The sequence below is a fragment of the Homo sapiens genome, chromosome 3 (genome assembly GCF_000001405.40).
Source record: "Homo sapiens chromosome 3, GRCh38.p14 Primary Assembly".
Taxonomy (NCBI): Eukaryota; Metazoa; Chordata; class Mammalia; order Primates; family Hominidae; genus Homo; species Homo sapiens.
Window position 1 is genome coordinate 53,384,723 of NC_000003.12, and position 17,628 is coordinate 53,402,350.

The following is a 17,628-nucleotide window of genomic DNA, read 5'->3' on the forward strand; positions in this document are numbered from 1 at the left end:
ATGAGTCTGTCTCAGTCAATTTCACCACTAAATAAATGAGTTTCAGTTCTTTCTCGACAGAGGTTCATGGGCAGAGGTGCTGAGTGGCACCTCTGGGGAAAGGTTTACTATGGGGAGGAATTTCACAATTAGCTCAGGTTCCGGCTATGCCTCTAGGTCGGTTAACGTAGGTGGATGAGTGGCAAGATGATAACCTTGAAGGGACAGAGATGCCTGGGTTGCACAATCCTTTTTTGGATTCTACTCTCCTCTGTAGCACCTGCTAAGCTGTCAATGCTTGTTAACATTTCATTGATTTCTGTAGCACATTAGGGCCTTCCTGGAGTGTTCAACCATAGCCAAGTTTATAATGTAAAATTTCTGGAGGCTAATATTTATCTAAATTAAGTTAATTATAGGGATGATAAAGCTCACTGAGACATGTGTTTTGAAGAGATTAGAGTTGAATTTCCTAAACAAGAAGCAAGGGAAACCTTTCCTAGAAAATCAATTTGCCATCCTTCATGCTGATCATTTATGAGACATAAGTTCACTGTGGGAATGGCTTCTAAATGCCTCTGTTCAGAACCCTCTATTGGAGTGAGAGGGGAATAAAGAGACAAATCTCAGTTCACACTGGGAAAGTGTTCCCCTGCAGTCCCAAACATAAATCTTGGTGTAAACTCTTTAAAAGGAGCAGTAAAGAAGGTGATGGTAAGAGCTCATATATGTGTGTCTAGGGATGAAAGATGGTAGCCAAAGGGTGGGAGTACTTTGTAGGCTGATTCCAGTTGTAGTTGATAATTACATTTTACTGTGTTGTCATTTTTTTGTTTTTGTTTTTGAGACAGAGTCTTGCTCTGTCGCCCAGGCTGGAGTGCAGTGGTGCGATCTCAGCTCACTGCAACCTCTGCCTCCTGGGTTCAAGCTATTCTCTTGCTTCAGCCTGCCGAGTTGCTGGGAGTACAGGCGCCCACTACCACACCTGGCTAATTTTTGTATTTTTAGTAGGGACGGAGTTTCACCATGTTGGCCAGGTTGGTCTTGAATTCCTGACCTCAAGTGATCCGCCTGCCTCAGCCTCCCAAAGTGCTGGGATTACTGGCATGAGCCACCACGCCCAGCCTGTGTTGTCATTTTTATGGGTTGTGACAACCTCAGAAATCTTCCTGCCCTCCCCTTGTCACCACCACCATCTTCTTCCTATCATTAAATTTCATTTTGATTCATTTAATAGATGTTTACTGCATAATTTTCATGGTGCTGAAGGTGCCACAAAAATGGTAGGTGTTAGAGAAATGAAACTATTAAGACCTGGTCTTTGCTCTTTGTATCAGTCCGTTCTTACACCACTATAAGGAAATACTTGAGACTGGGTAATTTGTAAAGAAAAGAGGTTTAATTGGCTCATGGTTCTGCAGGCTTTATAGGAGCATGATGCTGGCATCTGCTTGGTTTTTGGGGAGATCTCAGGAAACTTACAATCATGGCAGAAGGCAAAGGAGAAGTCAACACTTCACATGGCTAGAACAGGAGAAAGAGAAAGCAGGAAGAGGAGGTGCTGCACACTTTTAAATGACCAGATCTCATGAGAACTCACTATCACGAGAACAGCACCAAGAGGAAAATCCACCTGATCCAATCACCTCCAACACTGGGAATTACAATTGACATGAGATTTGGGCAGGGACACCCATCCAAACCATTTCCTCTCTAAAGTTTATAGTCTGGTGAAGTAGACAAATAAATTCAGTAGTTGTGTATGTACAGTGAGGTAAGTTTCTAAATCTTGGGATAGAAGTATTCATAAAGTGTTATGGGAGCAGAGAGGGGATATCCAAATCAGCCCGAGTTAGAAGTAGGGAGAGCTTCTAATGAAAAATAATGCTGCTTCTTTTTTTTTTTGAGATGGAGTCTCACTCTGTTGCCCAGACTGGAGTGCAATGGTGCGATCTTGGCTCACAGCAACCTCCGCTTCCTGGGTTCAAGCACTTCTCCTGCCTCAACCTCCTGAGTGGCTGGGATTATAGGCACCTGCCACTATGCCCATCTAATTTTTGTATTTTTACTAGACATGGGGTTTTGCCATGTTGACCAGGCTGGTCTTGAACTCCTGACCTCAGGTGATCCGCTGCCTTGGCCTCCCAAATTGCTGGGATTACAGGTGTGAGTCATTGCACCCAGCGAAAATGATGCTTTTGAATTGACTTTTATCTTGTTGCCTAACATTTTAAAAAATTTAAATAAAATGCACAGATTGTGATATAGCTCAATGAATTTTGACAAATGTATACATCCATATTGACACCACCTCAATGGAGATATAAATCATAATCATTTTCATCAATACGGAAAGTTCCTTTGTGCTTCTTTCCAGCCAGTATCGCACCCCCAGCCACCTCCTCAGTGGCCACCAGATGAATTGCCTTTGGCCCGGGCATTTACAATTGGAAGGAGTGGTGGAAGGGCAGGTCCATGGAGGGAGCAGTGTACAAAGGCATGGATGTGTGAGAGATTGTGGCACGTGTGAGAGACCTCCAGCCCTCTGATCTCATCTTGTTGGGCTGAGGGCAAGTCGTCTTTGTTAAATGAATGTTTGACAGAGATGAGGCTAAGTGCCAGGTCACCAAGGGATGGGACATCAAGCAACTTGACTTTCATCCTGTAAGACAAAGCGGGCCATGGAAGGGTTTCAGGCAGGGTAGTGGTCTTCATGGTATACTAAGACATTGATTTAATTAATTAATTAATTATTTTAGAGACAGGGTCTTGCTCTGTCACCCAATCTGGAGTGCAGTGGTGCAGTCATAGCTCACTGAAGTCCTTAACTCCTAAGGCTCAAGTGATTCTCCCACCTTAGCCTCCCAAGTAGCTCGGACTACAGGTGTGCACCATCATGCTCAGCTTAAATGACCTTTTAAGCAGAGAAAACTTAAATGTCTCACTTGTCCTATGAACTATATAAAATTATCAGAAAGGTGCTTAAATTGTGATAAATTTTTTTCTGGTTAAGCTGTGACTCCAGACAGTATCTACAGAGGAGTTTTACAATCTCGTCTCTGGGTTTTATGGAGAATTACTTTAGCTTTCTGTGTTAGTCTCTTAAAGAACTATGAACTTGCATTTTAAAGTTCAAATGGTTAAAACATTTTGAGGGCAAAGTTCTATTTTATTGGTAGGAAACTGTTAAATTCATTCTTCTGTAAAAGATAGTAATCAGTCCTTTTATGTGAGGAGGGACAAATATTTAATTAAAAAATACTGCTTGACATCAAACAATTGATCAAATATTTCAATGAAGACAGAGTTTTATGCTCAGTGATAGTGTTGGATGACGTCTGCATTTAAAATGCTCTTTCATATTAATTCAATATGTCATTGATCTCTGTCTTTGATTTACACAAAGGAGTCAGAGATGATTCTTTTCTGTAGGGAGAATCTCAAAAGCAGAATCTGAACTGACACTACAGAAGATATGAAATAAGACTCATTAGGACTTTTTGAGAGAGTGTTGTTTGGTGCAGTGTCTTCTGACTGAATTGATAGTTCATTTGCTTTTGAGATATAAAAGGGAAAAACAGTTACCTGAAAGAAACTTCCAGTCCCTGGAGCAAGGTGGCCTACCTTTGGAAGTTCGTAGTCTAATGTTGACTGGTTGGTTTTGGGAATTGCTTCTGCCACCTTTCACCAAAGGAAACATTAGAATGCAAATTTGTTTTTAAAATTACATTGTTTTTCATACTTTGAAAAGTGAACTTGGATGAGTAACACTGGGTCTCAGTATTTTTATGCAAAAATTAAAGGGGTATAGACAATGAAAGCAACCCAGAAAGACATATTGAAAAAGAACAGTTAAATACAGTGACCTACTATCTGAAAAGAACTAAAAGACGTTAAGAAAGCAGTAAAAGACATGAAAGAGCATTATTCATCAGAATTAGAAAATCTTACAAATAGGGTGACAGAATTCAAGAAATAACTAGAAATGAAAAGAAAAAAAAATCATTTAAAAAATGACAATCAAACCAGAAGAAACTCTAGAGCAAATAGACACAAGAGAAGGCAAAAAGAAATATAAGTTCAAAGAAATGAAGAAACAAAAAACATTGAAGAAAAGTGACAAATATAGATCAGAAAGATCTGAAATATGGATAGTTAGAGTCCCTGAAGCAAAAGAAGACCAAAGAAAGGGAACAAAATGAGTACTACAACTGAAAGTCAAGAAAACTTGCCTGGCTGGGGCAATGGCTCACATCTGTAATCCCAGCACTTTTGGAGGCTGAGGCACGAGACAAATGCATCACTTGAGCCCAGGAGTTTGAGACCAGCTTGGGCAACATAGTGAGACCCTGTCTATACAAAAAATTCAAAAATTAAAAAAAAAAATTACCCGGGCGTGGTGGTGTGTGCCTGTAGCCCCATCTACTCAGGAGGCTGAGGTGGGAGGATGGCTTGAGCCTGGGAGGTCGAGGCTGCAGTGAGCGAAGATTGCACCCCTGCACTCCAGCCTGAGCAACAGAGCCAGACCCTGTCTCAAAAAGAAAAAAAAAAAAAAAAGAAAGAAAGAAAAAGAAAAAAATACTTTCCTGAAATATTTCCGGAGGTATTTTGAAATACAGATTGAAAAAGCACACCATGTACCTAAACATATTGACCCAGGGCTATTCTAGAAAATATTCTAGGACATGTTCTAGAAAAATTATTGGACTTTAAAGGAAAATAAACATTTCTTTTCTTTAGCAATATTATTTGGCTTTCAAAAAATTTCTATAAGCATTTAGACACAAATAGCATGTGACTTATGAAGAAAAGAAAATTAGATTATTATCAGACTTTTTGACAGAATAGCTTTGTGCCAAAATAAAATGGGGTAACATACTTAAGATACCCAAGGATATCAAGTGTGAGGGAAAGACCTTCTATCCAGTGAGATTGACACAAACTGTGATCAACATGCAAGAACTCAGGAACTCTTGTTCTCATGGGCTTTTATTAAAGCATCTACTCTAGATCAAGGCCACCAAAACAATTAGAGAAACATTGACACAAGAACTGGTGGTGAGCATGAAATACATGGGTGCTTATAGAACTAAGACTAAATGAGAGTTAAAAGAGGAAATTATTATATGTAAAGGTTTTACAGCCTGTCCAGATAGATCTACCATGACCATTAAAAAGGGGGAGAGAATGAAGTTAGCCTGAGAAAAATATTTTTAAACTGTTTAGTCACAATATATGGTGGTAATATTGTTATTGTTATTCTGAAATTGCCATACAATCCTTATAGGTTAGCACAAATGATGGGATATTCCAATCCTGTCATCCTCTGGGTCCTTGAGAACCAGGATTCTTGGTATGAAAGTGCCTAGTAACAATGGGAAAGCAGCCATAGTGCCTAGATTATGGTCTTGAAATACCGTGTTCTGCTAAAGCAAACCTGGGCTGCTTGGAGAAATGGCTAATTCCAAATCTGGAATAGGAAATGTAGGAGATGAACTGGAATATCTTGACCTACCACACAGTAGAGAAGTTATCAAAGACTACTAGAGTCATGGGCAGAAGATTCTTAAAATTATTTTGAAGAGAGAGGGTCTCCCTATGTTGCCCAGGCTGATCTCAAACTCTTGGGCTCAAGTGATGTTCCCACCTTGGCCTCCCAAAGTGCTGGGACTACAGGTGTGAGCTCTGCATCTGGCCTTTCAGGGGCCATTTTGAAGAGCCTTCCACAGGTTAAAAAGGAAACAATTTCTGCCCTAATGAGGATAATGTTTAAATATTTGTAAATCCATGAGTTTATAATAATCTTTGTTTTATTATATTATTATTTTTATTTTTTTTTATTTATTTTTTTTGAGATGGAGTTTGCTCTTGTTTCCCTGGCTGGAGTGCAATGGCATGACCTTGGCTCATTGCAACCTCTGCTTCCTGGGTTCAAGCGATTCTCCTGCCTCAGCTTCCTGAGTAGCTGGGATAACAGGCATGAGCTACCACACATGGCTAATTTTATATTTTTAGTAGAGATGGAGTTTCACCATGTTGTCCAGGCTGGTCTTGAACTCCTGACCTCAGGTGATCCACCCACCTTGGCCTCCTAAAGTGCTGGGATTACAGGCATGAGCCAGCGTGCCTGGCCTATTTTTTATTTTTCTATTGCCCAGGCTGGAGTGCAACCTCTGCCTCCCAGGTCCAAGCGATTCTCCTGCCTCAACCACCCAAGTAGCTGGGATTACAGGCGTGTGCCACCATGCTTGGCTAATTTTTGTATTCTTAATACAAAATTGTATTATTTTTGTATTATTAGTGGAGAGTTAAGTTTCACCATGTTGGCCAGGCTGGCCTCGAACTCCTAGCCTCAAGTGATCTGCCTGTCTTGTCCTTCCAAAGTGTTGGGATTACAGGCGTGAGCCACCTTGTCCGGCCGGTAATAATCTTTAAAAAGAAAATGAATTGGATCGTTCCAAGATGGCCGAATAGGAACAGCTCCAGTCTGCAGCTCCCAGCGTGTTCCACACAGAAGTCTTATGATTTCTGCATTTCCAACTGAGGTACCTGGTTCATCTCACCGGGACTGGTTGCACAGTGGGTGCAGCCCACAGAGGATGAGCTGAAACAGGGTGGGATGTCGCCTCACCCAGGAAGAGCAAGGGGTCGGGGGATTTCCTTTTCTTAGGGAAGGAAGCTGTGACAGACCTGGAAAATCAGGACACTCTCTCCTTAATACGGCGCTTTTCCAATGGTCTTAGGAAACGGCACACCAGGAGATTATATCCCTCACCTGGCTCGGCAGGTCCCACGCCCACAGAGCCTTGCTCACTGCTAGTTCAGCAGTCCAAGATTGAACTGCCAGGCGGCAGCCTGGTCTGGGGGAGGGGCGTCCACCATTGCTGAGACTTGAGTAGGTAAACAAAGCCGCCTAGAAGCTCGAACTGGGTGGAGCCCACCACAGCTCAGGAAGGCCTACCTGCCTCTGTAGACTCCACCTCTGGGGGCAGGGCATAGCTGAACAAAAGGCAGCAGAAACTTCTGCAGACTTAAATGTCTCTGTCTGACAGCTCTGAAGAGAGCAGTGTTTCTCCCAGCATGGAGTTTGAGCTCTGAGAATGGACAGACTGCCTCCTCAAGTGGGTCCCTGACCCTCGTGTAGCCTAACTGGGAGACACCGGCCAGTAGGGACTGACTGATACCTCATACAGCCAGGTACCCCTCTGAGACAAAGCTTCCAGAGGAAGGATCAGGCAGCAATATTTGCTGTTCTGCAGCCTCCACTGGTGATACCCAGGCAAACAGGGCCTGGAGTGGACCTCCAACAGACTCCAACAGACCTGCAGCGGAGGGTCCTGACTGTTAGATGGGAAACTAACAGACAGAAAAGAATAGCATCAACATCAACAAAAAGGACATCCACACCAAAACCCCATCTGTAGTTCGCTATCATCAAAGACCAAAGGTAGATAAAACCACAAAGATGGGGAGAAACCAGAGCAGAAAAGCTGAAAATTCTAAAAGCCAGAGCACCTCTTCTCCTCCAAAGGATTACAGCTCCTCACCAGCAATGGAACAAAGCTGGATGGACTATGACTTTGACGAGTTGACAGAAGTAGGCTTCAGAAGGTCAGTAATAACAAACTTCTCCAGTCTAAAGGAGGATGTTCAAACCCATCACAAGGAAGCTAAAAACCTTGAAAAAAGATTAGATGAATGGCTAACTAGAATAAACAGTGTAGAGAGACCTTAAAGGAACTGATGGAGCTGAAAAACATGGCATAAGAACTACGTGACGCATGCACACGCTTCGTAGCTAATTTGATCAAGTGGAAGAAAGGGTATCAGCGATTGAAGATCAAATGAATAAAATGAAGCGAGAAGAGAAGTTTAGAGAAAAAAAAGAGTAAAAAGAAGTGAACAAAGCCTCCAAGAAATATGGGATTATGTGAAAAGACCAAATCTACATCTGACTGGTGTACCTGAAAGTGACGGGGAGAATGGAGCCAAGTTGGAAAACACTCTTCAGGATACTATCCAGGAGAACTTCCCCAACCTAGCAAGGCAGGCCAACATTCAAATTCAGGAAATACAGAGAACAACACAAAGATACTCCTTGAGAAGAGCAACCCCAAGACACATAATTGTCAGATTTACCAAGGTTGAAATGAAGGAAAAAATGCTAAGGGCAGCCAGAGAGAAAGGTCGGGTTACCCACAAAGGGAAGCCCATCAAACTAACAGCTGATATCTTGGCAGAAACTCTATAAGCCAGAAGAGAGTGGTGGCTAATATTCAACATTCTTAAAAGAACTTTCAACCCAGAATTTCATATCCAGCCAAAGTAAGATTCATAAGTGAAGCAGAAATAAAATCCTTTACACACAAGCAAATGCTGAGAGATTTTGTCACCACCAGGCCTGCCTTACAAGAGCTCCTGAAAGAAGCACTAAACATGGAAAGGAACAACCAGTGCCAGCCACTGCAAAAACATGCCAAATTGTAAAGACCCCTGATGCTAGGAAGAAACTGCATCAACTAACGAGCAAAATAACCAGCTAACATCATAATGACAGGATCAAATTCACGCATAACAATATTAACCTTAAATGTAAGTGGGCTAAATGCACCAATTAAAAGACACAGACTGGCAAATTGGATAAAGAGTCAAGACCCATCAGTGTGCTGTATTCAGGAGACCCATCTCATGTGCAGAGACACACATAGGTTCAAAATAAAGGGATGGAGGAAGATCTACCAAGCAAATGGAAAACAAAACGAAAAAAAAGCAGGGGTTGCAATCCTAGTCTCTGATAAAACAGACTTTAAGCCAACAAAGATCAAAAGAGACAAAGAAGGCCATTACATAATGGTAAAGGGATCAATTCAACAAGAAGAGCTAACTATCCTAAATATATATGCACCCAATACAGGAGCACCCAGATTCATAAGGCAAGTCCTTAGAGACCTACAAAGAGACTTAGACTCTCACACAATAATAATGGGAGACTTCAACACCTCACTATCAATATTAGACAGATCAATGAGACAGAAGGTTAACAAGGATATCCAGAACTTGAGCTCAGCTCTGCACCAAGCAGACCTAATAGACATCTATAGAACTCTGCACCCCAAATCAATAGAATATACATTCTTCTCAGCACCACATCACACTTATTCCAAAATTGACCACATAGTTGGAAGTAAAGCACTCCTCAGCAAATGTAAAAGAACAGAAATCACAACAAACTGTCTCTCAGACCGCAGTGCAATCAAATTAGAACTCAGGATTAAGAAACTCACTCAAAACCTCACAACTACGTGGAAACCGAACAACTTGCTCCTGAATGACTACTGGGTAAAGAATGAAATGAAGGCAGAGATAAAGATGTTCTTTGAAACCAATGAGAACAAAGACACAACATATCAGAATCTCTGGGACACATTTAAAGCTGTGTGTAGAGGGAAATTTATAGCACTAAATGCTCACAAGAGAAAACAGGAAAGATCTAAAATTGACACCCTAACATCACAATTAAAATAACTAGAGAAGGAAGAGCAAATGAATTTGAAAGCTAGCAGAAGGCAAGAAATAACTAAGATCAGAACAGAACTGAAGGAGATAGAGACACAAAAAACCCTTCAAAAAATCAATGAATCCAGGAGTTGGTTTTTTGAAGAGATCAACAAAACAGATCGACCACTAGCAAAACTAATAAAGAAGAAAAGACAGAAAAATCAAATAGGCACAATAAAAAATGATAAAGGGGATATCACCACCGATCCCACAGAAATGCAAATTACCATCAGAGAATACTATAAATACCTCTATGGAAATAAACTAGAAACTCTAGAAGAAATGGATAAATTCCTGGACACATACACCCTCCCAAGACTAAACCAGGTAGAAACTGAATCCCTGAATAGACCAATAAAAGACTCTGAAATTGAGGCAATAATTAATAGCCTACCAACCACAAAAAGTCCAGGACCAGATGGATTCACAGCCAAATTCTGCCAGATGTACAAAAAGGAGCTGGTACTGTTCCTTCTGAAACTATTCCAATCAACAGAAAAAGAGGGAATCCTCCCTAACTCATTTTATGAAGCCAGTATCATCTTGAAACCAAAGCCTGGCAGAGACACAACAAAAAAAGAATTTTAGACCAATATCCCTGATGAACATTGATGCAAAAATCCTCAATAAAATACTGGTACTCCAAATCCAACAGCACATCAGAAAGCTTATCCACCACGATCAAGTTGGCTTCATCCCTGGGATGCAAGGCTGGTTCAACATACGCAGATCAATAAACATAATCCATCACATAAACAGAGCCAATGACAAAAACCACATGATTATCAAAATAGATGCAGAAAAGGCCTTTGACAAAATTCAACAGCCTTCATGCTAAAAACTCTCAATAAACTAGGTACTGATGGGACGTATCTCAAACTAATAAGAGCTATTTATGACAAACTCACAGCCAATATCATTCTGAATGGGCAAAAACTGGAAGCATTCCCTTTGAAAATCGGCACAAGACAGGGATGCCCTCTCTCACCACTCCTATTCAACATAGTGTTGGAAGTTCTGGTCAGGACAATCAGGCAGGAGAAAGAAATAAAGGGTATTCAATTAGGAAAAGAGGAAGTCAAATTGTCCCTGTTTGCAGATGATGTGATTATATATTTAGAAAACCCCATTGTCTCAGCCCCAAATCTCCTTAAGCTGATAAGCAACTTCAGAAAAATCTCAGGATACAAAATCAATGTGCAAAAATCACAAGCATTCCTATACCCCAATAACAGACAAGCAGCCAAATCATGAGTGAACTCCCATTCACAATCGCTTCAAAGAGTATAAAACACCTAGGAATCCAACTTACAAGAGATGTGAAGGACCTCTTCGAGGAGAACTACAAACCACTGCTCGACGAAATAAGAGGACACAACAAATGGAAGAACATTCCGTGCTCATGGATAGGAAGAATCAATATCGTGAAAATGGCCATACTACCCAAGGTAATTTATAGATTCAATGCAATCCCCATCAAGCTACCAATGACTTTCTTCACAGAATTGGAAAAAACTACTTTAAAGTTTATATGGAACCAAGAAAGAGCCCACATTGCCAAGACAATTCTAAGCAAAAAGAACAAAGCTGGAGGCATCAGCTACCTGACTTCAAACGATACTACAATGCTACAGTAACCAAAGCAGCATGGTACTGGTACAAAAACAGAGATATAGACAGATGGAGCAGAACAGAGGCCTCAGAAATAACACCACACATCTACAACCATCTGATCTTTGACAAAACCTGACAGAAGCAAGAAATGGGGAAAGGATTCCCTATTTAATAAATGGTGCTGGGAAAACTGGCTAGCTATATGTAGAAAGCTGAAACTGTATCCCTTCCTTACATCTTATATGAAAATTAATTCAAGATGGATTAAAGACTCAAATGTTAGACCTAAAACCACAAAAACCCTCGAAGAAAACCTAGGCAACACCATTCAGGACACAGGCATGGTCAAGGACTTCATGTCTGAAACACCAAAAGCAATGGCAACAAAAGCCAAAATAGACAAATGGGATCTAACTAAACTAACGAGCTCCTGCACAGCAAAAGAAACTACCATCAGAGTGAACAGGCAACCTACAGCATGGGAGAAAATTTTTGCAATCTACCCATCTGACAAAGAGCTAATATCCAGAATCAACAAAGAAACAAATTTACAAGAAAAAATCAAACAACCCCATCAAAAAGTGGGCAAAGGATATGAACAGACACTTCTCAAAAGAAGACATTTATGCAGCCAATAGACACATGAAAAAAATGCTCGTCATCACTGGTCGTCAGAGAAATGCAAATCAAAACCACAGTGAGATACTGTCTCACACCAGTTAGAATGGTGATCATTAAAAAGTCAGGAAACAACAGGTGCTGGAGAGGATGTGGAGAAATATAAATGCTTTTACACTATTGATGGGAGTGTAAACTAGTTCAACCACTGTGGAAGACAGTGTGGCAATTCCTCAAGGATCTAGAACTAGAAATACCATTTGACCCAGCCATCCTATTACTAGGTATATACCCAAAGGATTATAAATCATGCTACTATAAAGACACATGCACACGTATGTTTATTGTGGCACTATTCACAATAGCAAAGACTTGGAACCAACCCAAATGTCCATCAATGATAGACTGGATGAAGAAAATGTGGCACATATACACCATGGAATACTATGCAGCCATAAAAAAGGATGAGTTCATGTCCTTTGTAGGGACATGGGTGAAGCTGGAAACCATCATTCTGAGCAAACTATTGCAAGGATAAAAAATCAAACACCGCATGTTCTCACTCATAGGTGGGAATTGAACAATGAGAACACTTGGACACAGGGCGGGGAACATCACACACCAGAGCCTGTCGTGAGGTGGGTAGGAGGGGGAAGATAGCATTAGGAGAAATCCCTAATGTAGATGACGAGTTAATGGGTGCAGCACACCAACATGGCACATGTGTACATATGTAACAAACCTGCATGTTGTGCATATGTACTGTAGAACTTAAAGTATAATAATAAAAAAAGTGAAAATAAAGATGAAATAAAAAAGAAGGTGAATTGATTGCATTCTGAAGATGACAGATAAATGATTCATTATTGTGGAAATGGTGTAAATAAAAACAAACAACCAATGATTTACCTTGCCTTTTTTCTTTCTTTTTTTTTTATACTTTAAGTTCTAGGGTATATGTGCACAATGTGCAGGTTTGTTACATATGTATACATGTGCCATGTTGGTGGGCTGCACCCATTAACTAGTCATTTACATTAGGGATTTCTCCTAATGCTATCCCTCCTCCCTACCCCCAGCCCAGGACAGGCCCTGGTGTGTGATGTTCCCCACCCTGTGTCCAAGTGTTCTCATTGTTCAATTCCCAACTATGAGTGAGAACATGTGGTGTTTGATTTTCTGTCCTTGCGAAGTTTGCTCAGAATGATGGTTTCCAGCTTCACACACGTCCCTACAAAGGATATGAACTCATCCTTTTTTATGGCTGCATAGTATTCCATGGTGTATATATACCACATTTTCTTCATCCAGTCTATCATTGATGGGCATTTGGGTTGGTTCCAAGTCTTTGCTATTGTGAATAGTGCCACAATAAACATACGTGTGCATGTGTCTTTATAGTAGCATGATTTATAATCCTTTGGGTATATACCCAGTAATGGGATGGCTGGGTCAAATGGTATTTCTAGTTCTAAATCCTTGAGGAATCGCTAGACTATCTTCCACAATGGTTGAACTAATTTACACTCCCAGCAACAGTGTAAAAGTGTTCCTATTTCTCCACATCGTCTCCAGCACCTGTTGTTTCCTGACTTTTTAATGATCACCATTCTAACTGGTGTGAGATGGTATCTCATTGTGGTTTTGATTTGCATTTCTCTGATGGCCAGTGATGATGAGCATTTTTTCATGTGTCTGTTGGCTGCATAAATGTCTTCTTTTGAGAAGTGTCTGTTCATATCCTTTGCCCACTTTTTGATGGGGTTGTTTGATTTTTCTTGTAAATTTGTTTAAGTTCTTTGTAGATTCTGGATATTAGCTCTTTGTCAGATGGGTAGATTGCAAAAATTTTCTCCCATTCTGTAGGTTGCCTGTTCACTCTGATGGTAGTTTCTTTTGCCATGCAGAAGCTCTTTAGTTTAATTAGATCCCAAACCATAAAAACCCTAGAAGAAAACCTAGGCAATACCATTCAGGACATAGGCATGGGCAAGGACTTCATGACTAAAACACCAAAAGCAATGGTAACAAAAGCCAAAATACTTTGCCTTTTCTTTATGAACTGTACAACTGGGTAATCAAATAGTAGGTGAGGGGAAGCATCTCTTTGTAAAATTATTCCAGATAAAAAATAAAAACTGTAGGATAGAATTAGAATGACACCACCCTAACTATCCCAAATGGATCAGTGAACCTAGGCATTGAGCTGACATAAAAAAAAAAGTAAGTGAAAAGCTGGTATGATGTACCTCCTGATGAAAGAACACACTACCACTTAATTTTGCCAAAGGAATTGAATCTAAAACTCATCAATCCTTTGGATTTAGCTGCCAATTTTCAGGAAATACAGAGGATAGAGGAACATGCTGAACTGTGCTATGCGTATGCAGTCACTGAAGACCAGATTGCAGGAAACTCTGTATATAATACAGCCTCCATCCTTCAATACATACATTGTAAGGGAAAGAAAGAGACTGACGGGGATATACCGAGTTAAAAAAAGGGAGCAAATGAAATGCACACTTGGGTGATAAAACAATAAAGTAGCATAAGAAAAGTGATTAATGTGCTGTTGGAGGGCTGGGAAAGGCTGTGGTTAGTACGGGGTACATGGCAGAGTTTCTTGGGTTGCTGGCTAAACTCTATTTCTTGACCTGGGTAATGATTGTAGAAATGTTTACCAAGACTTTTATCATTAATATATTAATATATTTGCTTTTCTCCATATCCCATATGTAGCCATCTATCCATCCCTCCATCCATCTATTAATCCATCTTATTTTTGGATGCATTTAAAAGTAAATGACAGACATTTGTATACCTCTCCCTCAGTACTTCTGTACTCTAATACCATTAACTGGAGTTCAATATTGAGTTTTTCTTTTCTTTTCTTTTCTTTCTTTTGACAGGGTTTTGCTTTTGCCCAGGCTGAAGTGCAGTGGAGCTATCATGGCTCACTGCAGCATCTACCTCCTGGGCTCAAGTGATCCACCCACCTCAGTCTACCAAGTAGCTGGGACCACAGGTGTGCACCACCACAGCTGGGCAATTTTTGTATATTTTGTAGAGATGTGGTTTTGCTATGTTGCCCAGGCTAGTCTCAAACTCCTGAGCTCAAGCGATCCTCCTGCCTTGGCCTCCCAAAGTGCTAGGATTACAGGTGTGAACCACCTTGTCTGGCCTGTTGTTTTCTTTTGATGTAAAACTTACATAAAATGAAATAAACATATTTGAAATGTATACTGACTGAGTTTTGACAATGCATACACCCATGTAACTCAAACTCCTATCAAGATATACATTACCATCGATCGCCCCCAAAATTTCCTCTTTTTTTTTTTGAGACAGAGTCTTGCTCTGTCGCCAGGCTGGAGTATAGTGGTGTGATCTCAGTTCACTGCAACCTCTGCCTCCTGGGTTCAAACTATTCTCCTGCCTCAGCCTTCTGAGTAAGCTGGGGCTACAGGTGTGCGCCACCACACCTAGCTAATTTTTGTATTTTTAATAGAGATGGGGTTTCACCATGTTGGCCAGGATGGTCTTGATCTCTTGACCTCATGATCTACCTGCCTCGGCCTCCCAAAGTGCTGGGATTACAGGTGTGAGCCACCGTGCCTGGCCTCCCCTCATTTTTTTAAGTCTCTAAAATCTGAATGTATTTTTCCTCAAATTCAAACATGAAATCAATTGTCTTTCAAGTAAAATTTAAAAAATGGCATGTTTTACTTCTCTTGCTTCTCTTTCTTTCTCTCTCTCTCTCTCTCTCTTTCTCTCTCTCCCTCTCTCTCTTACTCTCTTTCTTTCTTGACAGGGTCTAGCTCTGTTGCCCAGGGTGGAGTGCAATATGGCCTTATCACAGCTCACTGCAACCTCGAACTCTTGGGCTCAAGCAATCCTTCCACTTCAGCCTCCCAAGCAGCTAGGACTACAGGCATGTGCCACAACACCAGCTAATTTTGTATATTTTTTGTAGAGTTGAGGTCTCGCTATGTTGCCCAGGCTGGTCTCACACTCCTGGCCTCAAGTGATCCTCCTGCTTTGGCCTCCCAAAGTGCTGGGATTACAGGTGTAAGCCACCACACCTAAGCCCTGGTATTCTCAATTTTGTAGATACACTCCAGGAATCTCACTTTGGATTATTATTAGTAGTAGTACTGAGAGGCAGTGTAGAGTGGTGGTTCAGATTCTGGCGGCAGACTGCCCAGGTTTGAATCTTGGCTCCTTCCCTTATCAACAGGGTGACCTTGGTAATTAACTTCTCTGCCTCAGTTTTGTCCTTTGAAGGATGGAGTTAATAATAATACCTTCATCAAAGGGTGTTTGTGAGGATTAAGTGAGGAAATATATGTAAAGCACTTAGAGTAGTGCCTGGCATTTAGTGAACAATATAGAAGTGCTCAATTTTTTATCGTTATTCAATTACCATTTTACATTGCATATTATTTCTTTCAAAACTATTTTGACATTTGCCTTCAGATATAAAATTGTATTAGCAAAAATTAAATTAACAGTAGTTATTTAGACTTCATTAGATTTGCATGTCGATTAGAAACATCCAGTGACTTAACTATGGATCATCCATGTAATCTGGAACCATAGTTCTAGCATTCTCCAGAACCCATCTCTTTGGTATAGGTCCCATGTGGTCGCCAGGAAGCCATGTCCCTTCTCTCTTCAGTTTCCTCTTCTATGAAATGTAAGGGATACCACAGATTCATACAGGAGATTCCTCAGACTCATCATAGGAACTGCTTGGTTATAAATGAGATTATTCATATGAGAACCTGCAGAAGTCTCAAGGAAATCAATTCTCTGCAAATGCCTGTGATTGTTGCTATTTATTATTCTCCTGGTGAGTCAGTCCTTTTCATCACCCAGGCATACTAACTTTAGCAGATGGGGTCAGCCTGCAGAAGATCAATTACTGGTCTCCTTATTTCTTCTTCCTTGCCATCTTCCCCAAGGATCACCCCCCGAATCTCCACCACCACCTCCCAGTCATATCTTTTGTATAACATGGTCAGCAGTCATTATGACAGCTCCAGGCCATCCAGGACTTCTTAGGGGTTGGATATACACTTTCTCTGTGAGAGAGCAGGAAGACTTCTGCCATTTCTTTGAAATAGCCTTGCAGCTTTGGAATTTAGGGCAGTCATTTGGAATTCTGTTTGATTTTTACCTTGTGTATCTTTACTTCTATGTGGTCAGACCTCTGGGGTTTACTGACAGAAGGTACAGCAGATACTTTATTTCATCAAGATGAATTTTTTAATATGTTAAACTAACTTGTTTCTGTTTTCTGTCTTTCGAGGCTTTCCATAATGTCTCCTTTCTTTCAGACAAGAGAACCTACCTTTAAAGTTAAAAAACACATAAAATCTGTCAATATCTATTGTCTTATTAATGAGTAAGGTTGAATTTTAAGTTTTATTTTACATTTTATATGTTCTCTACATATATGATAAAACCCTGTCAAAGTCATATGAAAATTTCAAAGATTTACTCGACTCTTCTATATATGGTTACATTAAAATTTTAAGCTGGGCGTGTTGCCCAGGCTGGTCTTGTACTCCTGGGCTCAAGTGATCTTCCTGTTTGGGCCTCCCAAAGTGCTGGGATTACAGGTGTCAGCCACCACACTTGGCTCTATAAGTTCTTTACATAATTGAGAGGTGATATCTTGATTTGATAATACTAATTTATTAACATTGATTTGTGCTGCTGGTTCTGAAACAAGATGGAATAGACTTACTTTTCACTACTTTTCCCCTCTAAATACAACAAAACCCCTTGGAAATATTGGAACAGACAATGATAAAAGGTCTCTGAAAGCTAGAAAGATGACAGAGTAGTAGGAAA

General features: G+C 40.5%; 1 non-coding gene across 1 annotated transcript; it reads right to left on the reverse strand.

The window, feature by feature from the left end:
* Positions 1 to 2,990: 2,990 nt before the first annotated feature.
* Positions 2,991 to 3,114, reverse strand: LOC124900563 (small nucleolar RNA SNORA26). Its single transcript, XR_007096312.1, has one exon. It is a non-coding gene; the product is annotated as a small nucleolar RNA SNORA26 (small nucleolar RNA).
* Positions 3,115 to 17,628: the final 14,514 nt, after the last annotated feature.